Source organism: Homo sapiens, chromosome 3, assembly GCF_000001405.40.
Source record: "Homo sapiens chromosome 3, GRCh38.p14 Primary Assembly".
Classification (NCBI taxonomy): Eukaryota; Metazoa; Chordata; class Mammalia; order Primates; family Hominidae; genus Homo; species Homo sapiens.
The window spans coordinates 185911609-185938638 of record NC_000003.12 but is presented as its reverse complement, the minus strand read 5'-3'; the positions used below and the strand labels follow the sequence as shown (position 1 = coordinate 185938638).

Genomic DNA, 27030 nt, shown 5'->3' with positions numbered 1-27030 from the left:
CGCGCCTGGCTAATTTTTTTGTATTTTTAGTAGAGACGGAGTTTCACTGGGTTAGCCAGAATGGTTTCGATCTCCTGACCTCGTGATCCACCCGTCTCGGCCTCCCAAAGTGCTAGGATTACAGCGTGAGCCAGCGCGCCCAGCCCGATCTGACCTTTTTTAAATGAAGACGTATTCAGGAAGGAAATATCTACAAGTAAGACAAAATTAAGTAAGAACCCAATGTACGAACATTCACTTCTCTAACAAAGGAAAGACACAAAACAAGAAACTAATAAGGCGGAGAAAGGAATTGAGATTGGGGGAAACAGCATCTCCTTCCTCCCTGCACACTCGGCAGGTTCCCTGGAAAGTTCTAGAAGGGATTCAGAAGTGGCTGGTGACATCACTGTGGCTCCGTGGCGCCCACTACAGCAGCCAAACGACACGCTAGCTTTCCCGCCTCATAGAGGCTCGTGAATGGGGGTGGGGCCCTGCGAGGGGCGGGGTCACGTCACTTCCTGTGCGGGACGCGCTGCAGCTGGAGAGGAAAGGCAGAGCGAGGAGGGGCGAGGCCAAGAAAGCGCGCGTTTCTGGGAGGGGAGGAGCCTGGCTAAGGAGCGCCGCGTCACATCCGGTAGAGTTAGAGCCCGTGCGGAGGCGGTGCGGAGCATTTCGGCTCTGAGCGGCTGGGCGACCGGCGCGTCGTGCGGGGCTGCGGCGGAGCCTCCTTAAGGAAGGTGCAAGAGGTTGGCAGCTTCGATTGAAGCACATCGACCGGCGACAGCAGCCAGGAGTCATGAGCGACAGCGGCGAGCAGAACTACGGCGAGCGGGTACGTAGAGCTGCGGTAGGGGGTGGCTGTGTGGTCCTAGCTCCTTGCATCTTTTTCTAGGCCCGTCGGCCTCGGGCCAGGAGGCAGGGGCGTTTTAGGCTCCGAAGTCTGAAGCCGGGAGGGCAGGCAAGGGAGACAGCATTTAACCAAAAAAAGCCTTTGTGGATAGTGCCTTAGTGCCTTTGGTCGTGAAGGAGGGAGGCCCCCGGCGGGTTTATGTGGCTTCTGCCCGAGACGGCCGTTTTTCCCGTTATAAGAGGGGGAAGATGAAAATGGCCGCTGCGTCCCCGCGGTGTTGGGGGAGGGGAGCGATATCTTATTTCGGCGTTGCTCTCCTGCGAAGGTCCGCCGCAGCCATCTTGGGCTGGCGGGCTGGGCGAGCTGCCAGAGGCACAAAATGGCGGAGAAGCCGCGCGGCAACGCGGACCCGACCCGCAGCGGGCCGCGCTTCGTAAGGCCGCGTGGTGGGGTGCAAGGGGACAGACGACGTTCTTTTGGGTCTTTGGGCCGGTGTTTAGGTTAACGAAGGACCGTCTTTGCCTCCACGGAAAGGACGGAGTCTGGGATGTCTTTGGGGCCTCTTAAGATGGAAACTAATCCAAGGCCGACTAAGTTCTGGGCCCGTTAGGTGGAGGGGATTGCGTGAGGGCTTTGTGTTTGGCCTAAATGAAGCGCTTTTCTCTGATGCCGAAAGGGCTTCCCAGGCAAAAATCTGTATCAGTATTCTATTAGGACAGACCACAAAGTCGTTAAGATGATTTTGTGGACATCGCATTTCCACGGGATTGTGAAGGAGAAATTGGCGGGCAACCATTTACGGCGCCGTTATTTCCTTTGTTTTGAGGCGTTCTAATACTTAGAACCACAGCGTGTGTTGGCTACAGTTTTCTTTCCCTTAAGTTTCCACCTCTTAAAGGTGTTCAGTGAGGGTTGATTGAATTGCGGGAACAAGACAGTTCTAGGGTTTAAACAGCATACGTAGCTGGTCTGTGGGGCTCTGGGTATTGGATTCGGAAAGCATTGAATGATGCGAACATACGAGGCTTGCTAGAATTAAGAGGAATCTGTTAGAAGGGTGATAGAAAAGCACCATAGAAATTGATTTTTGAGGCTGTGGGAATAATTTGTGCTTTTTTAAAAAAAAAAAACAATTTGTTACCTAAGTTTCCCCTTGTTGGTAAAGCTACCTTAAGATCTGAATATGATTTATCAGGTAAATAAGACTATTAAATGTCTTAGCAAACTTTTGATTAAGATTTTATATGATTCCTCAGAGTATTTTAGGAAGAAATTTTCAGTGATGAAGCGTGAGTTTCCTGCGTAATTTTGGAGCCCAAACTGCTTAATTTGGTTTGAACTAATCAAGCCTTGCGTTTACATACTCGGATGAGCATAGAGTTTTTAGTTTTTGATGTTTTTCCCGAAGCCGATTGACTCCAATGTCACGAGTGTTTTAGATTTTTTTTTAAGTTCTTGCTTTCTTGGGTAAGAAAGTTGGGATTGAGCTCAAAAGTTGTTAAAAAGTCGTGACTTCTGATCATTGGCAGTTGAATCTGTTATAACAGTCATTGGTGTTTGGACTGCAAAGTAAGCGATTTTAAAGTCTTTTGTTATTAAACAGAAAAATTCAATTATTGGGTACCTTTCTACTCTTCAAAAATACTAAATGACTGGCTTCTGACTAGAGCTCTCGATTGAATACACGTGAAGAATGCTTGAGAATGGAAAATTGCCCAGAGTTCATTAGTATATTTTACGTGAGAAGGGAAACAATTGAAACTAGGTTCCAGTTTGAGACTCGGCTCAAGAGAAATTTGAAATTTTCTGATGGGTTATCTTTTTACTAGTAAAAGTACACTGTGTTTTTCGCAATCTTTGAATTGTAGAGGGAGGTTAACTTAATGTGTTAAAAATTGAGTTTTTTTTCTTACATAAGAGTCTTCGCTTTCTGGCCGAGATCTCTAAACTTTTACGTTGTGAAATACTTCCATATTGTTGTGTTTGGTGTTTGCGTGTTTGTGTTCCAATTGGAACCTTTAAGGGTTGGAATACACCTGAATCAAACACGTGTCTAGGCTTCCAAAGCAAGCTTGGGAAAACCATAAAGCTCAATGGAACAGCTTGATCTTAGACATGCCTGTGGTGTAAATGATGCTTCTCTGGAGCCAGAAAAATGAGTGTTATTCAACTCCAGGCTTCTGAACTGGGTCTTAATGTAAATCACTAATCTCTTCAAATCAGTGGAATTCTCCCTTATTTATCTGTCTCTAATCCAGACAACCCCACCCCTCTGTGCCCCACCTTTTCCAGTGACTGTAGGAGTTTGTTGTTGTGTCCCTCCCCTTTAAGGTTGGGTGTGTGGGATAAATTATTCTCAGTTTGATCACTCAATAGAATACATTTGGGTGAATATAATGACATTTAAAGAACTGGTGTGTCCCTCATCCCTCGTTGGTCTGTGGGATTTATTTTTTCCCCCCTCTCAAAGGTAATAGATTAACACTAAAATCTGTCTATAGGGGTCTAATTAGCAGGCTTAACCTGATCTGGCCAAACCACTTTCAAAAGTAAGATCTCGTTTTCATCTCCGGATTCAAGACTCTTCCCCCAAAATTGCTTGCATTTTGTAAAGGGGTTGACTAGCACCATTTCTTTGTAAAAAGAGGCACTCCTGGCCTTTAAGTCACAATTACAAGAAGTTGAATAAAAAGTTGATGAAGTGCAGGGTAATCTTTAGAGCCCAATAATGGTCACAGCGTATAGGTTGTGTGAGATTTGTATGTTGGTCTTGCACGCAGTGTAATGTTCTGAGCCTCTCAATATTGTAATGAGTTTCTACGAGTGAGTCTTTACTAAAGGAATCCAGAAACTAAGGAGACACTGATGTATGGACCAGATGTTAAAGAAAATGTTTTGACCCAGCAGATACTCTGATAGAATACTGGCTATTATTTTTGTAAAGCCGATGTGATTGCAACATAGGCACGTAATCTTTATCATTAGAGATGAATAGCAGCATCTGGACACCAACCCATCAAACTGCTTTTCAAATTCTGCAGTTTTTCTCATCTTCTGCTGAATCTTGGGATGTCTTTTTATATTCCTTGGTTTTAGCTCCTAAACTCTAAATTCTAATTTTCAAAACTGAAACATCTCTGAATCTACTTCTTTCTAAAGAATTGCAGCCATCTCACCAAATTTCCTTTAAAAAAGGATTGAATTGTCAAATAGGAGGAAATTGTTTTGTATTGTGAGTCTGGTTAGGTTTATCAGTCTCTTGAAACCCGGTTGAAATATTTTTTTCTTGGTTTTAAACAAGAATGCTTTAATATTGTGGATATTGTCTGGAACTAGAACGTGACATTTTCAAGCTGACATTACAGGTGATTTTATAAGGTAAGTACTACTGGTTTTGCCAAAAGGTTGAAAAGGAATTCAGGTGGTGGGGGAAGTGTTAATGGGATTTGCCTTACATAGCGTTTTTTCCTCCTTTCTCTACAATAAAATCCGAACGTAGGTGGTAAATATTAATGCTTTCATAGCTATTTTGCCCAGGACAAGGGCAGAGCTACAGCTGTGTATATTTCTTGAGCCTTAGCATTTTATGTTGATCAGTGTTTTTACATATGCGACTGTTTTTTTAACAAGGCATGGTGACTGATGTTTAGGAATTTTAAGTGTTTTGACCCAGGTTAGTATTGGGGGTGTGGGCTATGTAGAATTAGATATTGAAATCACTTAGTCTTGTTTTTAAACTGCAAACCAAAAGAAGTTCTTCACTGTAGCAAATTACAGTCTTGAAATTCCCCCAAAATCTTTGCTTTGAATTGGGTTTTGGAGGTTACATTGAGATTGATGTTATCAACATAGATTGTTACCTGACAGTTTGGATAAGGGGCCCCTTTTTCTCTAATTTTTGTGGTTAGAAATTAGGTTAAAAGGTAGTCTTCTGAAAAGTCAAAAGATATTTATATTTGCTTTTGTTGGGGAGTACTGACTGTTTTATGAATGTAAATTTAACAGTCTGTGCTATATTTACAAGAGAGTTTTTATAAGCACAGGCCTACAACTAATTTCAGATGATGTTTTTTTCCAGACACTATTCTCCAGTTTTTGAGGATTTACTTATCCATTTACTCTTCTGGTAGACAGTTTGGCTGCCAGAAAAAAATATAGTCCTTATTATATTGATATGAGCATTGACCTTTCCATAACAGGATTAATGAGGTTTTCTTTGCCCCTGTCCCTCCCAATTTTTAAAATATTGCCTTGTCAGTCAACTTAATGAGTTTGTGCATGTTTAATGTTAAATGGATTCTAGTTGTATCCCCTAGAAACATTTTAACAAAAATTGTGTTGATAGGACAAGTTTCTGTTTATTTCTAACTAGGGTCTCTTAACTAAATGTACATAACATTAGCCCAAGAGTTGATCTTCTGGTTTTATAAAGTAGCCACTTGAACTTAGCTGAGTTGAATTAAATCTAATATTTATAATAATTTAGTAATGGTTTTGTTCTTAGACTATAAGAGAAGGAACCAGGTTAGGAAGGGGTAATGAAGTAACAGCAGGAAGGTATCCACATTGAAAACAGTTGTGATAGCTAGAGCTATGGCCTCTATTCTTGTATCTTCTGCATCTAAGTGCCCTGTCTGTATCGAAGTTTTAGGAGGCCCTAAGGAAACCTGCTTGGGCATTCTGATTCCATGATTACATTTGTGCTGCCAGAAAACATTTCCCATTGCATTTTAGTGATGGAGATTTAAAGAAAGCCAATTACTGTAACTCCCTTAAATAAAAACATATTTAAAAATTTTCGGATTAAATAAACAATAATTGACTCTAAAACTAGACTGGAAATTATCCTTTTGTTAGGAAAGACATCACAGCACTTGCCAGATTAACGATGGTTGTCTTTATGCCCAGATAGGTATAAAGACTTGCAATTTTTTTAAACAAAGCCTTACATTTTTTTCAGGAGGAAAAACCAGGAGAGGAAGTAATTGACAATAAAATGAAAGATCATCAAAGTGAAATGTAGGATAACAAGAAAAACTAGCATGTTTTATGTAGGCAGTATTTTATTTTGTTTAGTATGTTCAACAGACATTTACAGATCAACTAAATTCAATCTTTTTAATTATTTGAGGAGGTGAGCTGTAATTTAAATAGTGCCACCTTTTAAAGTAGTATTTCTCCTTTGGACATCCAGAAGACTTAATATTTTCTAAATTGAGGGGGAAAATGTACAACAAAACTCTTTGAAAATACCAGTGTTGGATTCAAGTTTGTTCTGCTTTCCTTCATAGCTACTGGCATATTGTAGGTGGTTGACTTGATTTTGTCTTTTTATGATTCATACTATAAAATCTCACTAGAGCAGCTTTTCCAGGGGGTGGGTTACACTTAAGCTCCAAATTGTCAGGTTCCCTGACACCGTCTTTCTGCAGAGCTCTTTAAATACAGTACAAAAATGTGTGACGCTAAATACGTTTCTTTATCCTATCTAGACAAGTCACAATACTGTAAACCTCTTCAACCCTGAGCGTTTGTCATTGTACAAATGAATTGTCCGTGCTTTCCTTTCATGCACTTATGTATTAATGTGTCACTTTTTGACTAGAGGTGTGCTTTTGACACTTAACCTATTTTCTATTGAATATAATAAGAAGTGTGAAATGTAACTAATAGTTCTTAAAATGTTAAATGAACAGTAAATGTTCAGTGGCGCACTTCACATTCAACTTAAGCATGATAAGTCTATTTGGAGTAGAGAAATGAGATTACCATATATTCTAGAACCAGCAGAAAACTATGTAGTTTTCAGTTTTTTGAGCTGCATATTCTAGTTTCTTTTTTTTTTTTTTTAATCCAAATCAACAAAGGGATTTTTTTTTTCTAGTTTCAGTTTTGGCACTGGATTTTATCCTGGAGTTTTAAAATATTCTTCATCCTGTTCTTTTTCTATTAAGGTTAATGTTGAAGAAGGAAAATGCGGAAGTCGTCATTTGACAAGTTTTATAAATGAGTATTTGAAGCTCAGGAATAAGTGAAGCTGAAATTTGAAAAAATAAAAGAAAGAATGCATGCTAATTATCAGACCAGAAGTCCCACTTGTAGAATATTGAGCAATTTGTGTGAAGTGGGGAAGATGAAAGAAGTCAGAATTTGAAACGGAAGAATGAAGAAAAGAAATAAAAATGAAGTTAAGATAAGAAGTAATCTGGAATCAGAAAGCACTACGCTAAGTAATTACTAGTCTGTTTATGTGTCCCTGTATATTTTGCTAAACATGCATGCATTATTTGTTTAATAGAGGAAAATATATACAGGGTAAAGAAGTGCCTTCCAGGGGAAACGTTTAAATTAGGTAATTCTGATTTTAACTGCTTAGTTAAATGATTGAAATGCAATTTTTAAAAAATATTTAGTAGTCAAGCACCAGGCAGCAGTGAGCTCTCCAGCATGGGTAACAGTGGGCTTCATGTTGTCCTCTCTAGATAAACTTTACCTGTCTAATGTTGCTGGTCCTGGGGCATGAGCGAATACCTCCAGGGTTGGAACTGGTGGTCTTTGCCACCTCCCTGGACTCTTAGATTGCACTGTCCCCTTTCCTTCAGTACTGAGCAATGTATAGTAGAATATTTTCTGTTAAACCATTTTCAAAGGAATGTCACCAGGATGGTTATGGAACCAAACCCCCAAAATCCAAACAAAGCATTGAACAAAATAGTTCCCTTTGGCATTAGTGTGTTAGTTTTTTCCATATGGCACTAGTGGAAATCTGTGAGCATTTGGGCCCTAAATTTAAGATGCATATTTGCTAAATACACAGGGATGGTTTTTCAAATTCTGTTTCTGTTTAATGCCTATTTCAGCTGATTGACTAGGATTACTGATAAAATACCGTAGCTTCCCCTTAGAAGAGGTGGGTCACACAAGTGAACAGGATAGCTAATACAAATTGCAGTAATGGCAGATGCTTTCATTCCTATTTCTCCTTTTTTGCTATCAACATTTAGCTATTGTAATGTTAGAGGTAACGGTTACAAAGTAGCTTTATTCTGGTTACCTGGTATCCCTTGCACTTATTGAGAAATTCAACCCAAAAGCTGTCCCTTCTTTTCTGTGTGTTTTGTTTTAGCTGAGTAGAAGGGTCAAGTGATTGGTGTAATGTTACTTTCAGTTGAATGAGACAAGTACACATATCAAAAATAATACCCAGTAGTAGTCAGCCAGCGGTTTTCTACCCAGTTGAGAATGCCAAGGGTATCATGTCACACATGTCTTCCTGAAATAAACTTTCTCTGAGAGTTGTCAGGTCTTCATGCTCTTGGAGAAAGTGACTTAAATGGCATTTCTTGGAGAATCCATTTTCTGATGCTTTCAGGCCTGTTTATTTCTATATCTTGCAAGCAGAAGAAAATTTTCTCTTAAGAAGTTTTGCATTCCTTTGTCAAATTTCTTGCCATAGATAAACTAATGATGATAAATGTTATTTTATGTTCCAAATTACTCAAAGAGCAGGCAGGAAACTGAGGTAAATGTGTGAATGAATATTACATTTTAATTCCAAGCCCATGGATTCTTTTATCAAGAAACCTGACAGGTCCTTGGGGTGCAAAAGAGGAAAAGACCTCTTAACCCCCAGCCCACTAAAGGAAAGAAAGCAATTTGGAATCTGGTTATGACCCAAGCTGGATAGACTTAAGGTGAGAAAACGTTGCTAGTGGACCATTGTGTCCATTTGTTTTTGTTTTCCCCCTTGACCAAAGCATCTGTGGGTCCTAATGTGTCTCCTCCTCGGGCCATAGGGAAGATGAGGAGGAGGCCGGCTTCTGTTCCTGAGAACAGGCAGTGTGTGAAAGACTGCCTTAATCAGAGGTCTGATTAATGCTAAGGGGAGTCAAAACAAGGAAGGGGATGACAGTGTTTCAGGAAGATAACCTTTGCCAAGGGAAAAAAATGAGTAGGAAGCATGTAACTTCTGAGGTTGACTAAGTCAAGTAAGTCAGACTTAACTAGTATGATAAACAGTGTTTTAAGAGATGCAGTGTTTATGAGCCACTATTTTAAATCTAACAAACCACATTCAGTTTTTAAAATAATACAGGGATTGGATGGTTAGTCCTTTCAAATATGTTTTTGTAAGGTGGTTGCTGTTCTCAGAATAGGGAGATGTGGATTATTTTGTTGGAAGGCTAAGTGTGTTGTATTTTTACTTGATGTATTCCCTTTAGGTTTTGTATTAGGATGTGGCTGAGATCCAGTCTGTGAGAGCTTGATTGATTTCCTGAGCATTTTTTCAGGGAAATTTTGGTTTTATTCATGCTAATTTTAGTTTCATGGTCCCTTTTTTTGAGGCAGTGGTGTCCAGTTCTGTCTGTTGGTGTGGTTTTAATGTGTTGACCATGTCAGCCCTGAGAGTGGAATTTGAAGTATGCTTAGATTTAGGGACTTCCCCAACTGGTTTTTATAGCTTTACCTGTCTGCATTGAGATTTAAAGTTAATTATGCTTTTGATTTGGGTGCTAATTTTAGGTCTTATTTCTTGTAGGCAAGTTTTATTCCCTTGCCATATGTATTTCCCAGCCAGTTAAATGGCCAAAATAACTTCAGAAAGCTTTAACTTCTTTAAGAAAATATCCCTGATAAAGGATCGAGACGTTTAGGTGTTACCCAAACAAGTGTCAGTATAGAAAAGGAAGCCTTTGCATTCTGGTATTTCCCTTATTCCTGGCCCAAGAAATGATTGCTTACAAAATATATCTGCATAGTCCGTTAGTTTTGGAGGCTGAGTGAAAACTCCTGTGATTTCAGAAATATTGTATCTGTGATCTGCTAGATTTTAAGGAGAAAACTTCATTAAGTCTTATTTTCTAGGTTAGGAGTACTGTCTCTTCCCTCAGTGGACAGGCTGCCGAAGCATCTTAGCTTAGAATAAAGGTTTTTCTGTTAAAGCCAGGAGCTTAAAGAGGATCTTGACTTGACCCATTCTTCCTTTATACTCAGATTCCTGGGCTGACTGATTTCTGTTAACTACAGTTACTTTATTGGTAGTCTTAACTGTTACTGTGAAACACCCATATTCTGCTTTCACTTCTGGAGAAAATTGTTTCATTTCCATAGAGGTAATCTTTCTAGTGTTGGAGTAAACAGGCTTTTAGCAACTTTTGGGTTCCCCATTTCTATATTCTCACCTATGTTAATTTTTGCCTGTGGTAAAAATAGCAAAAACTACACCCTCATTTTTGAGACTTCCTCCTTTGTCCATGGAGAGAAGGGAAGTGTCCGTTCAGAATACTTGATAGGGAATTCCAAGGGATTGTTGTTAATTGGAAGCCCCAGAGCATCACTACATCCTTTAACCATTTCTTGATGTTAAAGGCAGCTGTTCATATATTTTTCTTTTAATCTTTTTACAGTCAGTCATGGAGGGAGGTAGAGGGGAAAGGCTGTCACATTTCATGTCACCCCACCATGTTTTATAATGGCTTTGAAGTCATTTGAACGTTTCTAGAGTCGTCTGGGGCCTAGAGACCTGAACTCATTTTACTGGATGAGTTAGCCTTTCCTTCTGTGTTAAACCTCAAACCTTAATTTGTCTATTCTGTGTTACATTATAAATGTTTTCCCTGAGCATCAAAGGATCATCCAAATTTTCTCCATTATGTTGTAAACCACAAAACTATCTTCTAAAGTGTTTTGAGCTGTAATTTAGAATAATCCTCTACTGTCCTTTCAAGAATGTCCAGAATACTCTGAAGATGTATCACACAAGGAAATCTCTTGTGATTTTATCTGAAAGCTTCACCTTTGATTCATGCCATATAGTGACTTACTGTAATACTGCTTCCTTTTGAGTCTTGCCATTTCTGCTCTCTGGAGTAGAAAGGCTTACCAGGCTTTACTTTGTCTAAGTTTGATAACCTAAAATAAAGGTTGCCTTGATAATTTTACCTAGCTATCAGACTGACTAGGAGTAGGTTCTGTCCTTTCCTCATCTACTGTTTTGGTGCCTTGGCAGAACTTTTCCTTGGTTTCATTACTTAGTATACCCTTTTGTTGATTATGTGTCTTTAGCTCGTTGGTGACCTAGTTATCCTGGTTACCATTCCTTTGCTATTTTTCATTACAAATCCCCCCTTAACCTGCCAGCCAATCCCAGTTTTGGTTGGGAAAGCTATGAGTACACAATGTTTACCTAAACTTTGGCTTTTGTATGTAGTTTCTGTACTCTTTTGCTTCCTGGGCCCTAGGTTAGGAGCTCCTGATTTAGCTGCCTGGTTTTGATGTGTACTTAAGTAACTAGGTAAGTTAGGTTAATTCCTGGTTTTCCATAAGTTTGCCCTGGCTCATCTCCATTTAGCTGGAGAAGCTGTGGAGGATCTCTGACACCCTCTCTACTCTTATTTGTGTGTAGTTCGCTGTTCTGTTGTAGCTCCATCTGGTTGCTTTCAGTTTTTTAGGGGGCCTCCCACCATGGTTAGATGCAATAGGGTTTTACAGGGTTTAGTGTCCTTCAAGCTAGCCTTTGCTTTCCACTAGGTTTCTGCTTTTCTCTAGGATTTGAAACTGAGATCATCATCTTTATCTCTTATCACTGAATTATAAGTAGTAACTTGAAAGGTCAAGGTCTTTTTAAAAATCAAGCATTTTTTTAAGTAAATTATATAAATTATATAGGATTTTGTTTTATTGATTGCAACTTGATTGAAATAGGTATAAAGTATAGGTGTCATAGTTAATAAGGTTCCGCCTCACCCTAGTCTTTATGGAGTAACATTCTGAAACACAGTCCTTGGACAGTTCCCTTAACTGCTTGACTTTGGCACCCCTTTCTGAAGGAAGTGGGGTCAAATAACTCTTATCCCTGCTCCAAAAAGGTGGAAGAAAGGACAAGTTAATTGACTTATGTCATTTGGAGCAATGAAACTATTAACACCAGGTATATTCAGTTCCTGCCCTTACCTATATTTTCTTATCTTGGAAGGGGATTGCTGTCCCTCACCATTTATCTCACAGCAGCTTATTTGTTTTTAAAGTTGCCCAGAAAGTGTGCAAATTAAACTTTTAACATCTACGTGTAGGAATCCCGTTCTGCTTCCAGAAGTGGAAGTGCTCACGGATCGGGGAAATCTGCAAGGCATACCCCTGCAAGGTCTCGCTCCAAGGAAGATTCCAGGCGTTCCAGATCAAAGTCCAGGTCCCGATCTGAATCTAGGTAAGAAAGACTGTCTTGAGATTTCCTCGTTACTCTTAGCTCTGAAATTGGTGCGTGTTTTGTAAACCAGGAAGGTAGAGAGGGTTAGATTATTTGTTGGCCTATTAAATATTGGTACTAGAAGTGAACTTAAGTTCTGGGAGGCAAGACTAAAAGCGGTTAAGAGCCTGGGCTTTTGGAGTCAGGGTTTTCTATTTTTGCTGGTTTGGGCAGATTAACCTTTCAGCTTTAGCTTCTTTATAAAAGGCAAATTAGTAATACAGTACCAGTTCTTCAGGGTTGTTGTGAGGATTTACTAAATGTAAGTAAACTGCTTACTAGTATGGCAAATATACTGCAGAACATTGGCTTTCAGTAATTAGAATTCTTGATAAATAAGTATATATATGGTGCGCTTTTTTTTTTTTAATGTTGGTCAAAAGTAGGCTATATATACATCCTGGTTTGCCTGGGGCGATACCATTTATGCCTGTGGTCAGGCATAATTAACAGCACCCCTTTTCTTAAATGTGTGTCCTCGTTTCGATGACAATTTAGAGTCACTCTAGTTAGTCAAGAGCCACTCAATTTTTTGTTTTTTTAACTGCTGGGGAATACTCCTTGTGATTTTGTTACTGTATTAAATTAATGGTGGGCATAATGGGAGACAGAAAAGTAGAGAATGGTCTTCTGAGGGGGAAAGATGGGCACAAGCCAAGCTAGTAAAATGCTGCGTGCCTTGATTTGTAAAAGATAAGTAATATGTCTTTAATTGGAAGAAATACTGGAGGAGAGCTTGTGGTTTTTAGAACGCTTCCTAGCAAAGTTGAAATGACTAAATAATTAGAGAAGAAAAGTATTGATCCTACTAAATTGGTAACCATGTTAGCATATTCCTGGATTGTTCCCTCTTTTGGAGTTTAACTTTAGAACAGAGTAATAAAGAAGACAATATTTGTTTTCAGTCATAACCTTAGGAGGTCTTTGTCTTGCAGGTCTAGATCCAGAAGAAGCTCCCGAAGGCATTATACCCGGTCACGGTCTCGCTCCCGCTCCCATAGACGATCACGTAGCAGGTCTTACAGTCGAGATTATCGTAGACGGCACAGCCACAGCCATTCTCCCATGTCTACTCGCAGGCGTCATGTTGGGAATCGGGTAAGATGAAAAACTGGTTTTGAAGCAGTCAACTGCCTAAATTTACTTTTTCTTAAAGTTAGAGCTGATTTTGACAATAGAGCTTTAGCAGTTGGTGCGTGAGTGAAATCTTCAGAGGCTTTTTTAGTGTTTTGAGAGAGTCTTTTAAGTTAATCTTCCATGACGGGGTCTGCATTTGGGCTGCCTGTCAATTAAGCATAATACTGACACAATGGTGTAACTCCTTAGCCCATCAAAAAAAAAAACTTCCGACTGCATTACTATACTGTAGTATAGTATTAGTACATTAGTTCAAAATATAGTTCTATGCTAACATTAACTCTTTCCAGGCTGCATAAACCTAGTTAGATGCTCTCCTGACTTTCCCATTTAATTTGAAGCTAATTTCTTTTGGGTGTTGTTAAGGCATTTTTTACATTTCATGAAAGGCTTCAAATGAGATGATATTTATTGTGATTTCACTGTATAATCCAAGTGGTTTAGGAGGAGGGTGCAGGGGGGGACTTAATGTTTTTAGAGTAGAGTAGAATTTTTCCCTAGTAAATTGTTAGTTTATGAAATAAATGGAATCTTTAGGTAAATTCATCACAGCATCTGGAATGTTAGCAACATATGGCTCACTCTTTATTCTTTCCTCTTGTCATCTTTTTTTGAGACAGGGCCTCACTCTGTCGCCCAGTCTGGAGTGCAGTGGTGCAATCTCAGCTTACTGCAGCTTCTACCTTGCAGGCTTAAGCGATCCGCCCACCTCAGCCTCCTGAGTAGCTAGGACTAGAGGCATGCCACCACACCCAGTAATTTGTTATATTTTTGTAGAGACATGGGGTCTCACTGTGTTGCCCAGGCTAGTCTCAAAACTCCTGAGCTTCAAGCAGTCCACCAGCCTTGGCCTCCCAGAGTGTTTGGATTACAAGCATGAGCCACTGCGCCTGGCCAACTCTTGTTTCTTACGATTGCAAGCTGTTTATGACCTGTAAAATGGTTTGGTACGCATCCCCTCAGGCTTCGTTTATGTACTTACTTGTGTATTGTGTTTCTGAAAAAATCGAACCATACATGCTCATCTTTTTGGCAATTCAGAGCATTCTATTGAATGGAAGGTGTGTCAACATTACAATTTTTTCTAGCTGATAGACACAGTGTGGTTCCAGTTATCCTTGTATGTCATGTTATGAATATGTGAATTTTTCTTAGAATAAATTCATAGAAGGAAAGATGCCAAGTTGCTTTTCGCCAGCACGAGTGCTTGTTTACCTACTTAATTCTAAGGTTGAAATTTTTTCTTTTGCATTCTTTCCTACCCATTCCCAAAAATACTTGTAGTACTTGCTGTAATTTTGTAATTTCTAAGCAGTGTTTGGTCTAATCATTATGTACTTTTCTTGTTAGTGACATTTTGGCTAGTATACAGCTCCCTTTTTAAACAACTTTGATTTTATGACAACTTTTCCAAAGTTTAAAACTTTTTTTTTTCCCTAGGCAAATCCTGATCCTAACTGTTGTCTTGGAGTATTTGGGCTGAGCTTGTACACCACAGAAAGAGATCTAAGAGAAGTGTTCTCTAAATATGGTCCCATTGCCGATGTGTCTATTGTATATGACCAGCAGTCTAGGCGTTCAAGAGGATTTGCCTTTGTATATTTTGAAAATGTAGATGATGCCAAGGAAGTAAGTAAAAGCCCGTTCCTTTGTAAACCATCAGTTCTATTGTTAACGCCAAGTTATCAGTGACCAATTGCTAGGATAAGGACAAGGACAAGTCAGTAATACTTCGAACTTTTTCTCCAACCTCTTGTGGAGACTCAAGATACATGCAGAATAACAAAATTTTGTATAACTTGGGGAAGTTGGTCCTACCACCTGCTTTATTAGTTGCCACCTATTGGGGTCAACTATACCCCAATTCCGCCAGGATATGTAGTCAGTGTTTACACTGGGTTCACATTCTAGAGTCAAAAATAACCAAAAGCAAAGTTATGATGCAGAAGGAAAACATTGTTCCTTTTTTGGCTAGTGAATGATGTCATATTTGGATTTTGATTTGTTTTGAGGCAGAATATAGAGTCAAGATTTGAAATGTGGGGCTAGACCCCATTTAAGAAATTCAGATTTTAGGTACATTAAGGATGGTAGCTAAAGTCATCTCCAAGTATAGAGAAGAGGAAGAACTGAGAAACACTTAATGACAAACGGAGTTTCACTCTTCTTGCCTGGGCTGGAGTGCAATGGCGCGATCTCCGGCTCACCGCAACCTCCGCCTCCTGGGTTCAAGCAATTCTCCTGCCTCAGCCTCCTGAGCAGGTGGGATTACAGGCTACCACACCCAGCTAATTTTGTATTTTTAGTAGAGACGGGGTTTCTCCATGTTGGGTCAGGGTGGTCTCGAACTCCCAACCTCAGGTGATCTGCCCCCCTCGGCCTCCCAAAGTGCTGGGGGATTACAGGTGTGAGCCACCATGCGCGGCCGCCCATTTCCTAATTAAATTTTTGCAGTAGGATCATAGCTCTCGGAAAATAGCATAAATTTTATCTTAATCTCTAGTGCCAGAAACTGCCTGGGCGTAAACACTAGCTTGAACATCTGAACTAGAAGATAGCATAGTATTGGAATTAGAAACTTAAATTCTATTTAGGTGAAAGGATGTTTCCTCAAATTATGAACAAACTTTAATGTGTTTGAAACGGGGTATTTTTATTTTTTAAATGTATGCTGTTAATACATACTTTGGGAAAAGGAACTATATGTACTTAAGGCTGTGCTTCAGTCTTAGCTTTTGGCTTCCAGAGAAGGGCTAAGAAAACTTCCAAGGGTTAAATAATGTGTTCAGGTTTCAGTCATAGGATCTCAGTCGCAACTATTTAACTCTGTTGTTTTAACCCAACAGCAGCCAGATGAATGAGTTGGGGCCCTATTCCAATAAAAGATTATTTTGGGGCATTGGAATTTGGATTTTGTGTGTTTCTTCACTTGTCATGAAATACTGTTTTTCCCCCTAGTTATTTAAATTTTTAGCTTATGGGTTATACAGAAACAGCCAGCTGGCCAGATTTGACCTACAGGCTATAGTTTGCCAATTGTGTGCTGCTTTGGAGCTGGAAATACTGTCAGGATCATAGTTAGGTAAAATAATTGTTTCAAGTTTTTATGAGTAGCTTTTACAAATGAACATTTAGTAGAGGGAACAACACATTTGTAAGTTGTAGACCTTACGTTCTGGCTAACATTAAGATAACTTAATGCACCTAACTGAAATGTCCAGTGGGATCTTACTCATAGCCACAGGATAATTAGTGGCTTTGTTCAGGATGTATGTAACAATTTATTTACCTTTTGAAGGCTAAAGAACGTGCCAATGGAATGGAGCTTGATGGGCGTAGGATCAGAGTTGATTTCTCTATAACAAAAAGACCACATACGCCAACACCAGGAATTTACATGGGGAGACCTACCTAGTAAGTTTATTTTCAAAATAAATATAATTGGCAGTTTTTCACTTGTCAAAGAAACACTTGTATTAGTGGAAAGTCTTCAGCACTTAGGTTTGTGCCATAAACTTGACTGTTGATTGATTAAATGCTCCTCATTAGGGCATTTTTCTCATAGTAGAAGTTCAACCATTACAGGTAAAACTAAATCTTAGTCAAGTCCATTTTTAAATTTTTTGTTTGTTGTTGTTTGGTTTTGTTTTTGTTTTGTTTTGAGACGGAGTCTTGCTCTGTCGCCCAGGCTGGAGTGCGATGGTGCAATCTCAGTTCACTGCAACCTTCGCCTCCTGGGTTCAAGCAGTTCTCCTGCCTCAGCCTCCCGAGTAGCTGGGACTACAGGCGCGTGTCGCAACGTCCGGCTAATTTTTTGCATTTTTAGTAGAGGCAGGTTTTCACCATGTTAGCCAGGATGTTCTCGATCTCCTGACCTCATGATCTGCCCGCCTCGGCCTCCCAAAGAGCTGGGATTACAGGCGTGAGTTGCTGCACCCGGCCTAAATTTTCTTAAATAGAGCAAAGTGATACTATTTTTGTTTCCTCTTAGAAATATGTGGGATATGCAGATTGACCTCTGGCAGGATCTGTGTGCCTCCTTAACCAAAGATTTTTAAAAATAGGTTTATATATATTGAAACAAGGGAAAGGGCAATGTTTGCTCAATATAGGTGAGAATTTTAACAGGAATAATTTTCATTTTCCAGTTAATGTGTCAGAAAAGGCCTACTAGTAGATATAAAAACTCATGTCCAGAAAGATAAGGGAGGTCACCTGAATATTTTTTTCTTCATAGTGGCAGCTCTCGCCGTCGGGATTACTATGACAGAGGATATGATCGGGGCTATGATGATCGGGACTACTATAGCAGATCATACAGGTAAGTTATGAGGTAGAAAGGTCAACGTCTGAATCTCAGTACAGTGTACAGAGCAGCACTATGCTTAAGTTTTAGCCTTTGTTAAAAGCTTTGCTTTAGTACTTTTACTCGAGAAATGCAGAGTAGAAAGTTAAATCAGATTCTAAGGTTCTGTGTCTTAATCAATTTAATGTGTAACTGGATTTCTGTTCAAATATTCTAGAATATAAATGGGATTTAAATGATAACTTGGAATATTAATAATAAAATGTGTTTTATTTTTAAACATTGAATGAGGCCAGGCGCAGTAGCTCACGCCTGTAATCCCAACACTTCAGGAGGCCAAGGCAGGCAGATCACCTGAGATCCAGCCTGGCCAACATGGTGAACCCCGTCTCTACCAGAAATAAAAATTTAGCCGGTTGTGGTGGTGCACGCCTGTAGTCCCAGCTACTGGCAGGTGAATTGCTTGAACCCGGCAGGCAGAGGTTGCAGTGAATTTAGATTGCACCACTGCACTCCACTGTAGGCAACAGAGCGAGAGACTCAAAAAAAAAAATAAATAAATGAATACATAGTGAAAGCAAAATTATAGGCTGAGGCAGGGGAATTGCTTGAGCCCGGGAATTTGAGACCAGCCTGAGCAGCATAGGGAACCTCCACAAAAAATGAGGCAGGAAGCCGGGGAGGTTGAAGCTGCAGTGAGCCAAGTACGCTCCCACCTGAGTCTCCTCCCCCAGAGCAAGACCCCACCTTAAAAGAAAAAATTATAGCCTCTGTCTTAGCCTTTTAAAAGCAAATTTATAATGGCTTATAAAAGCAAATTTCATAAGCCATTTTGGAAAGCCAACACTTTTCAGGCAGTTTCTTGTAATCTCTTAATGCATGCATCGTACACTGAGGGCAGGTAAAATGGATGCCTTGAAAGAGTCCAGAGAATAATTTTAAAGATGTTAATTTAGTATGACAAGGGTATGTGGCTTTTTATTTTTGCCAAAAATTTGGTATTTCGGGGTTTGGGTAGGGAAATGTCAATCATAGTTTAAAAATAAAGATATCTTTGAGAATACTTCCAAAGATAAAAATGAAGTAAAATTGTGACATTTTGGTCCTCCCTTGTCAAAATGTGTAATTTGACAAGTCAAATAATGTAGTTAGTAAGTATTGACCACAGTTGTCATTGATAATGGTATTGAGGTATATGGATGTCTATTTTGTGCATTATTTGGCAATGTTTAAGAAGTTAACAGTTGTCAGTCATTGTCTGAAAGTGAGTCTGTAAGTGTATTGTTCAGCATTTTATCACCCATGAAAACCCTTTTTTTATTTAAAGCATCACTCTATTGAATGGTACTAAAGGTACAAATTTGTTGGGGCTGAGATTTTTTTCTTAGTTTGATTTTTTTTTTTAAGAGCATTTACTTAGGAATGTTCTGTGTTCTAATACTACTTATTTCAGCCACCAGAGAGAACCCTATGCCAGTTTCTAAAAAGGGTGGCAAATCACTTGACCTGCAAGAAACATCTCATTCATGCTCTATGAAAGTTTTTATTTTACTAAATGAATGACATAATTTTTTAAAACTTACAAACTGAATGCGTGTTGTGTTGCCTTTCTGTCTTCACAGAGGAGGAGGTGGAGGAGGAGGAGGATGGAGAGCTGCCCAAGACAGGGATCAGATTTATAGGTATGCCAGGAGAGGACTTAGCATCTGTACAACAGTATAAAGCTTCACATAAAGATGTTTGCCTAGTAATGTTTTGGTAAATTATAAGTGGAATACCCAAAATCAGACTGTTTGAAGCTCATGAAAATATTCTAACGGAAACTAAATGTATAAAGTCTTTGTATATTTATAAAAATTAATTGGTTTTGCAATAGATTATTTAGTGATACCATTTTATACCGTGATGAGGTACAGTGATGTTAGTCACTGATAACTCATTTTTTTTGTCATTATGTTCTTGTATTACATTTTCCTTGCTTTTTAAAAGTAAGCATCTCAAATAGCACAAGAACATTCAAGCCAGCCTTTTTAACACAAAGCTAAATCCTGAAGCACTTGTGAAATTAGTTTTGGGTGTTCAAGAGGGTGCTGTTGGGATTATTTAATGGTATGGGAATTTTCTCATTTTTATTTTTAATTTTTGGAGACAGAGTGTTGCTCTGTTGCCTAGGCTGGAGTACAGTGGAGCAATTTGAGCTCACTGCAGTCTCTGCATCCCGAGTAGCTGGGATTACAAGCATGCACCACCGCACAGAGCTAATTTTTTTTTTTTAGTAGAGACAGGTTTTCACCATGTTGGTCAGGCTGGTCAAACTCCTGGCCTCAAGTGATCCTCCTGCCTTGGCCTCCCAAAGTGCTGGGATTATAGGCGTTGAGCCACCGCACCCAGCCAGGAATTTTCTTTTACAAAACTCTCTTAACATAGTTCACAAAATTTAAAAAGTAAGTAGATTAAAATATAGCAAGGATTATTTGACCTTAAAGTTATTAAGAGTGCTTATTTGACACTTGGGCCTGATAATGTGCTTCATTCTCAAGATTTAAACAGACCTTGAAGGTTCATGCAGCTTTCCTTTTTTGGGGAACTGATGAAAGGGCAGTATATATAGTCATAAATTTATATGTTTGGTCTAATTGTGATCTATTGAGACTTAGACAATCTTGACATTTGTTTATAGAAGGCGGTCACCTTCTCCTTACTATAGTCGTGGAGGATACAGATCACGTTCCAGATCTCGATCATACTCACCTCGTAAGTTTTTATCTTAATATGATTGTTTATATTGTAGTATGGCTTGCTCTGATGACAGTGTATTCCCTTTATCAGATAATGGATTGGTTTCAGGTAGTTTCATACCTAATGATTCTCCACACATCCTGAACATTTTTTGGTTCAAGAAAGTTTGTGGAAACAACCCTTAGAATCCTATTATTTTTTAAGAAGGAAAAATTGGACAGCCTCCTGAGCCAGAGTAGGCTCGGAGACTCCTGTTGTTTCTAACTGAAATAGTAAATAATGTATTTCCACCATTTACCCAGAGTAGGCTCAGAGACTCCTGTTGTTTCTAATTGAAACAGTAAATAATGTATTTCCACCATTTAGTAGCTTTTCAAGAGTCCTTAAAAATTTTTGGACAGCACAGAAACATGGATTACTTAGCCCTTTAGTTCTCAGATTGAGTTATATACTTCCCAGCAATTTCTGTTATTTAAGATTGCTATCTCATTTCTGGTGTAATACTTACATGGAAGTCTTTCTCTATTTGGGGGTGGTGGGGTTCTGGCACATAGGAATTTCTTAATGGCAGAATATTCTGAAATTCTCGGCATTAAAGTATACTTGATAATTAGTTCACTTAATATTAAAGCATGTTCATTCTTTTCTTCCCAGGTCGCTATTAAAGCATGAAGACTTTCTGAAACCTGCCCTAGAGCTGGGATATTGTTTGTGGGCAATATTTTTTATTGTCTCTTGTTTAAAAAGTGAACAGTGCCTAGTGAAGTTAGGTGACTTTTACACCTTTTACGATGACTACTTTTGGTGGAGTTGAAATGCTGTTTTCATTCTGCATTTGTGTAGTTTGGTGCTTTGTTCCAAGTTAAGTGTTTTCAGAAAAGTATGTTTTGCATGTATTTTTTTACAGTCTAAATTTTGACTGCTGAGAAGTTTCTATTGTACAAAACTTCATTTAAAAGGTTTTTCTACTGAATCCAGGGTATTCTGAAGATCGAAGCCTGTGTAAAATGCTACCAAATGGCAAAAAGCAACAATAAACAGTTTGATTTTTACTTTTCTTTCTAACATATCAATGCTTAGCAGAACTATTCAGATTGTCAGTAGTAAATTTAAAGACAAATGCCCGTTTTCCTCCAGTCCATGAAACATACCATACTTATATACCTGCAACTAAGTGTTTAAAATTATGCTCTGTAACTCTGTACTGCTAGTATTAGAACTAAAAATCTTAAAATACAGCCAGTGCTTAATGCTTATATCAATGTGGATTTGTCGGCTTTTATGTAATCTGTAATATGTATAGCAGGAAATACGAAGAGTTACACAGTGTATGCCTTAAAAGGCTGTTTCTTAAAGGTGTTACAAGGGGATAATGGTATTTCAACTAGTTATCAGCAAGTGACAATACATTCCACCACAAATACACTCTTGTTCTTCTAGCTTTTAGACTATATGAAAAAACCGGGTGCTTCAAAGTACATGATAAGGGAACACTATACCTGTCATGGATGAACTGAAGACTTTGCCTGTTCATTTTTTAAATATTATTTTCAGGTCCTTTGCTTACCAAAGGAGGCCCAATTTCACTCAAATGTTTTGAGAACTGTGTTTAAATAAACGCAAATGAAAAGAAAAATGTTGGTGCAGCTGTTCACAAAGAAGTGTTCTTGTTCTATTATAATTAGAGTTCTTCTGTAGTTTAATCGTTAGGGCAGTGTGTTCCTTGGGCTGAGGTGTATCTTTGCTATTTTGGGCTGGGTTGAGGGGGGGATGAATTTCTGTATTCCTGGAAAATTCAGAGTGCATAACTAGGTATTAGAGTGATCTCCATTTGGGGATGGAGTTACAGTAAATAACTAGACTGCGGGTACTTTAATACATGTTCTTATTATTTTGCATTTAAGTAATTTTCATGACCAATTGTAGGGATGTTGCTACAGGTGGGTTATTTTGTTGCCTTGCTAACCTTTATCGCATCTAGGTATTAGTATGTTTCAGGTACTTTGGGAAGAACTTTACATATAATCTTTAGCAATGAAATGATGTAGAGTAACTTACCTTAGTTCAAATAGCTGTTTAAGTGGCAATGCCACGATCTGAATTGAACCTAGGTGATCTTAGTCCACAGTTCTCTTGATCATGATGTCTCAAATCTGGGTACCTGGGTGATGGAAAATACCAGTAATGGAGCATAGGCAGTATTGGCAGGTCTTAATTTGTAAAACTTACTGTCCAGGGTGTTTTCAGTGTTTGCCAACTTGTGGTAAATTAATATGCTTAGAGAACTACCCTTAGGTTTGTTTCTGATAAGCATGTGGAAACAACTTAGTATATGCCTGATGGGTTATTTCAAATTGTTCTCAATGAGTTTTGAAACAAGAATTTGTAGTATTTATATATAAAGTTGAGTTTTAGGGTGTGGTCCCAGAGGGGGTTGTGTTATGGATGGATACATTAAAGGCTGAGAAACCTGGTTTTATCGTGGTAGTATATACAGGCATCCTTTCCTGAAGTAACTACATTCTCCACCATTTTCTCCCCAACCAAACCTCTCCCCATCAGTTAACTGATGGCTTGCGAGTTCACACTCCTGATAATCTCGAACATAACCCTCGGTTTCTATCCTAAAGCCTGAGTTTTAGCCCTTTAGTTGTGTAGCCATCCTTTATCCTGCTGATTGAAAGTTTCCTTTTTTAGGCTAGTTTGAGTTGTTTTCTGGCTTTTAGATTTGAAAGAATTTTAGCCATTTGACATGGCTACAAAGAGTGTTAACAGGCAAAAGACTGAGGAAAATTTGGAATTTTACCAAGTTGAGATAGACTGAGAAGTAGTGAGACAAAGTGGTAGTCTTTTGATGTGCTGTAATGCTAGTCGCCAGTTTCATGAAAGGGAGGCAGCAGTTACCCGTAGGTAACCCCTAGGTAACTGCTGCCATGGGCAGCTGAATCAGACAAAAGCCATGGGAAAGGATAAATTTGAGTCTTAAAGTTACTGCCTCAAGGCAAAGGGACTTGGAGGCTTTTATATGCCAATACAAACAATCCATTTCTTATAGCTGTAGGGCTGAGACTACTAAAACCAAATGTAAAGTTCATTTGGAAGATTGCTAAGTTAAATAGTTTTATACTAGGCTTTTGTGAAACTTCTCAGGAAATCAACAGGGTCCCAGCAAGTGGAAATAAGGCTGTGTCAAAAGATTTGTAGACCTGGGAGCAGGGGTTTCCGATCTCCTGGCCATGGATTGCCTGAGCTCCGCCGCCTGTCAGATCAGCAACAGCAGATTTTCATAGCAGGAATCCTATTGTGAAGTGCGCTTGAGAGGGATCTAGCTTGCACATTTCCTTATGGAAATCTAACTACATGTTAGAGAATGCTCAAGGTCTGCAATGTTTACATTGTTGCCCCTACATAAGGAATATATGCCTTAAGATAAAACTAATAGCTCTTAGCCCTCTTACACCATTGACTAGGATTCCAATTCTGCAAGGCCCAGGAGGAGAAATTGAGAATTAGAAGTTTCACCGAGAAGAAATAAAAAGATTTGGTTTGCATTATCAAAATTTCTGTAAATTATATGGAAATTTTGAGGATGGATTAGGCTGGATTTATTAGCAGTGGACACGCCTCCAATATTCCTTCAGCATGCCATCTCAGTGGATTTTGATTGGCTCTTGTAGGATTGGACTTAATGCTAGCTTATGCCAAATGTCATCAAAAAGCCAGAATGCTACTACAGTAATGTAAAGGATTATTGTATATAGTGTAAAGGATTATTATGTGTAATCTTTAATATATAATGTAAAGACTTAAAAGTGACAAGAATACTGGATTGGTTCTATTCCACTCACTCTGTCCCTTACTAGCAAGACAAGACCCAAAATAATCCCTTCTCCCCATGAGTAATCAGTTGATGAAGTTAAAACTATTTCAAGAGCTTTACTGGCCTGGCAAGAGGAGATGAATTGAAATGGGATCCCACGTTAGTACTAAGAGACCAGTTAATCACTGTTTTTTGGTGGGGGGGGGGGTTCGTTGGTGTGTGTGTGTGTGTGTGTGTGTGTGTGGTTTTTTGAGACAGTTTCACTCCTGTTGCCCAGGTTGGAGTACAGTGGCACGATCTCAGCTCACTGCATCCTCCACTTCCCAGGTTCAAGCGGTTCTCCTGCCTCGGCCTCCCAAGTAGCTGAGATTACAGACGTGCACCACCACGCCCGGCTAATTTTTGTATTTTTAGTAGAGACAGGGTTTGACCGTGTTGGTCAGGCTGGTCTCGAACTACTGACCTCGGGTGATTCACCCACCTCGGCCTCCCAAAGTGCTGAGGTTACAGGCGTGAGCCACCCATTCCCAGCCAAGACCAGGTAATCACTGTTAGCCCTTAGAAGGTGAAGTTGGCAGGGTTAATAAAGGAGCAAGATAAAATGTGTGTGAAGGGATCTGGCAGGAATTTCAAGCTGTAGTTAACTAGATACTAGGTTCACAGAAATAATAGTCTTTTTGCCAAAGACACCTGTAACTATTGAACTGTTGTAGAAAGATAAATACCCAAACTTACCAAAAATAACAGTTGACCAACATCATGGGTTTGAACTGTGTGGGTCTCCTTACAGGAATTTTCTGCCTCTGCCACCCCTGAGGCAGCAAGACCAGCACCCCCACCCCCTCAGCCTACTCAACATGAAGATGATGGAGATGAAGATTGTGAGCCACTTTGATGTATTAAATAGGTTTTATTTTAACGGATACACATAATATAAAAGTTTTGTGTTACCCGTTATTGGGAAGGCTTCTTACCAACGGGCTGTTAAGGCAGCTCCCAGTCAAAAGATGTGCTCAGCTGGGTATAGAGGATTACAGGAGAACAAGGACTGTAAGACCTCGAGAAGAAAAACTTGGCTCATTGTCTTCGTCTGGAGAAATAGGCATGAGTTTACAGGTATCTTCTGGACAGATCAATATCTAATCATCTTCGTGGTTAAAGGGTTGGAGCAGCAGGATAGATTGGTAACAGCAAAGGCAATGAACATATCTTCAACATGAGTATCCACTCAAGTTTAAACATTACCACAACTGAGCTCCAATGTGAAATATACTTTGATGGGAATAACTGCAATACTAAGTTTCCTTGTGAGGGGGGACAGTAATTTGTTCTCACTGAAAATAACATTCTGTGGATTTGGTTTCTAGTCATTCCTTTATGGGACCTTATATCCATACCTGTATTGTACCATGTGACTTGGCTTCTGTACCAGAGTTCACCTGGAGAAAACCATTTCTATATAGTTGATAGCAACTATACATACTGCTTTTATTGATTTTGTTTTGAGACAGGATCTCACTCTGTCCCCCAGGCTGGAGTACGGTGGTGTGATCACAGCTAAACTGTAGGCTTAAACTTGTGGGCTCAAGTGATCCTTCCATTTTAGTCTCCAAAATAGGGAACTACAGGTCCAGCTATTTTTTTTTTTTTTTTGAGACGGAATCTTGCTCTGTTACCCTGGCTGGAGTGCAGTGACATGATCTCAGCTCGCTGCAACCTGTCTCCCGGGTTCAAGTGATTCTCCTGCCTCAGCCTCCTGAGAAGCTGGGATTACAGGTGCCCGCCACCACGCTGAGCTAAATTTTGTGTTTTTAATAGAGGCAGGTTTTCGCCATGTTGGCCCGGCTGTTCTTGAACTCCTGACCTCGGGATCTGCCTGCCTCAGCCTCCCAAAGTGCTGGGATTACAGCCGTGAGCCACTGGGCCCGGCCGAAGAGATTGTTTTTAAAAATACTTAGGAATTACATGTAACTAGCTTAACCATCAAACCTGTTAAATTAGTGGAATCAAGCTCAAGTTTCTCACTAAAATTTTTGAAAAGTGTTTGTGGAAGATTTCAAAGAATTTATTTTAATTAAATGTTTTAATATTGTTACTAATAGCTTATATTTTATTACATTTTCCTCAATTATTTTATGTAAAGAAACTGCAGGGGTTTTGTTGTTTTGGGTTTTTTGTGTTTTTTGTGTTCTTTTTTTTTGAGATGGAGTCTCACTCTGTTTCCCCAGCTAGAGAGAGTGGCATGATCTCAGCTCACTGCAACCTCTGCATCCCGGATTCAAGCAATTCTCCTGCCTTAGCTTCCCAGGTAGCTGGGATTACAGGCATGAGCCACAACGCCTGGCTAATTTTGTATTTTTAGTAGAGATGGGGGTTTCTCCATGTTGGCCAGGCTGGTCTCGAACTCCTGACCTCAGCTGATGCCACCTCAGCCTCCCAAAGTGCTGGGGTTACAGTCGTGAGCCATCGGGCTCAGCCCTGCAGGAGTTTTTTACTAAGTCCATTATGGGTACCCAAATCACCACCAGTTTACCCCCAGTGTACCTCACCGCTATTGTCATTTTCTGTGTATGCCTTGATGCACAAAAGGTTGGGAAGCTCTGCCCTCCAGTGAAGCCCATCAGCTGATGAGCTTTCCCTTGCACGTCGGGCTTCCATTCACAATCTGTTTTTTTTATTTTTTATTTTTTTGAGACGGAGTCTCGCTCTGTCTCCCAGGCTGGAGTGCAATGGCGTGATCTCGGCTCACTGCAACCTGCGCCCCCCGAGTTTCTGCTATTCACCCTCAGCCTCCCAAGTAGCTGGAACTACAGGCGCCCACCACCATGCCCGGCTAATTTTTTGTATTTTTAGTAGAGACGGGTTTTCACCGTGTTAGCCAGGATGGTCTCAATCTGACCTCGCGATCCACCTGCCTCAGCCTCCCAACGTGCTGGGATTACAGGCGTGAG

General features: G+C 39.6%; 1 protein-coding gene across 3 annotated transcripts, besides 4 other annotated features; it reads left to right on the top strand.

Annotated features, from left to right (window-relative positions):
• Positions 564-1291: an enhancer, noted in NCBI's record as "NANOG-H3K27ac-H3K4me1 hESC enhancer chr3:185655136-185655863 (GRCh37/hg19 assembly coordinates)". NCBI's record gives its function as "activates a minimal SCP1, AML or CMV promoter by ChIP-STARR-seq in naive H9 embryonic stem cells {active_cell/tissue: H9 hESC(naive)}" and the evidence as "EXISTENCE:reporter gene assay evidence [ECO:0000049][PMID:30033119]".
• Positions 564-1403: a biological region, named in NCBI's record as "NANOG-H3K27ac-H3K4me1 hESC enhancer GRCh37_chr3:185655136-185655863".
• Positions 625-24081, top strand: TRA2B (transformer 2 beta homolog). Of its 3 annotated transcripts, none has more exons than NM_004593.3 (9): positions 625-814; positions 11905-12038; positions 13013-13175; positions 14655-14843; positions 16513-16628; positions 17452-17535; positions 19143-19202; positions 20201-20274; positions 20914-24081. In NM_004593.3, the coding sequence occupies exons 1-9, from the start codon at positions 779-781 to the stop codon at positions 20922-20924; spliced, it is 867 nt and encodes a 288-aa protein (NP_004584.1). In that variant the 5' UTR covers positions 625-778; the 3' UTR covers positions 20925-24081. The 3 variants fall into 3 exon arrangements, with proteins under 3 accessions (NP_004584.1, NP_001230808.1, XP_047304673.1); XM_047448717.1 differs by lacking the exon at positions 625-814 and adding an exon at positions 6879-7062; NM_001243879.2 differs by lacking the exon at positions 11905-12038.
• Positions 694-1153: an enhancer, noted in NCBI's record as "active region_20930". NCBI's record gives its function as "activates an Ori minimal core promoter by ATAC-STARR-seq in GM12878 lymphoblastoid cells {active_cell/tissue: GM12878}" and the evidence as "EXISTENCE:reporter gene assay evidence [ECO:0000049][PMID:35858748]".
• Positions 1194-1403: an enhancer, noted in NCBI's record as "active region_20929". NCBI's record gives its function as "activates an Ori minimal core promoter by ATAC-STARR-seq in GM12878 lymphoblastoid cells {active_cell/tissue: GM12878}" and the evidence as "EXISTENCE:reporter gene assay evidence [ECO:0000049][PMID:35858748]".

What these genes read in the sequence shown, in the direction of transcription:
- TRA2B (NM_004593.3), top strand. Translation starts at nt 779, where the DNA reads ATGAGCGACAGCGGCGAGCAGAACTACGGCGAGCGG. An exon ending in AGCAGAACTACGGCGAGCGG is followed by an intron (nt 815 to 11,904) that starts GTACGTAGAGCT and finishes ATCTACGTGTAG; the next exon opens with GAATCCCGTTCTGCTTCCAG. An exon ending in AGGTCCCGATCTGAATCTAG is followed by an intron (nt 12,039 to 13,012) that starts GTAAGAAAGACT and finishes TTTGTCTTGCAG; the next exon opens with GTCTAGATCCAGAAGAAGCT.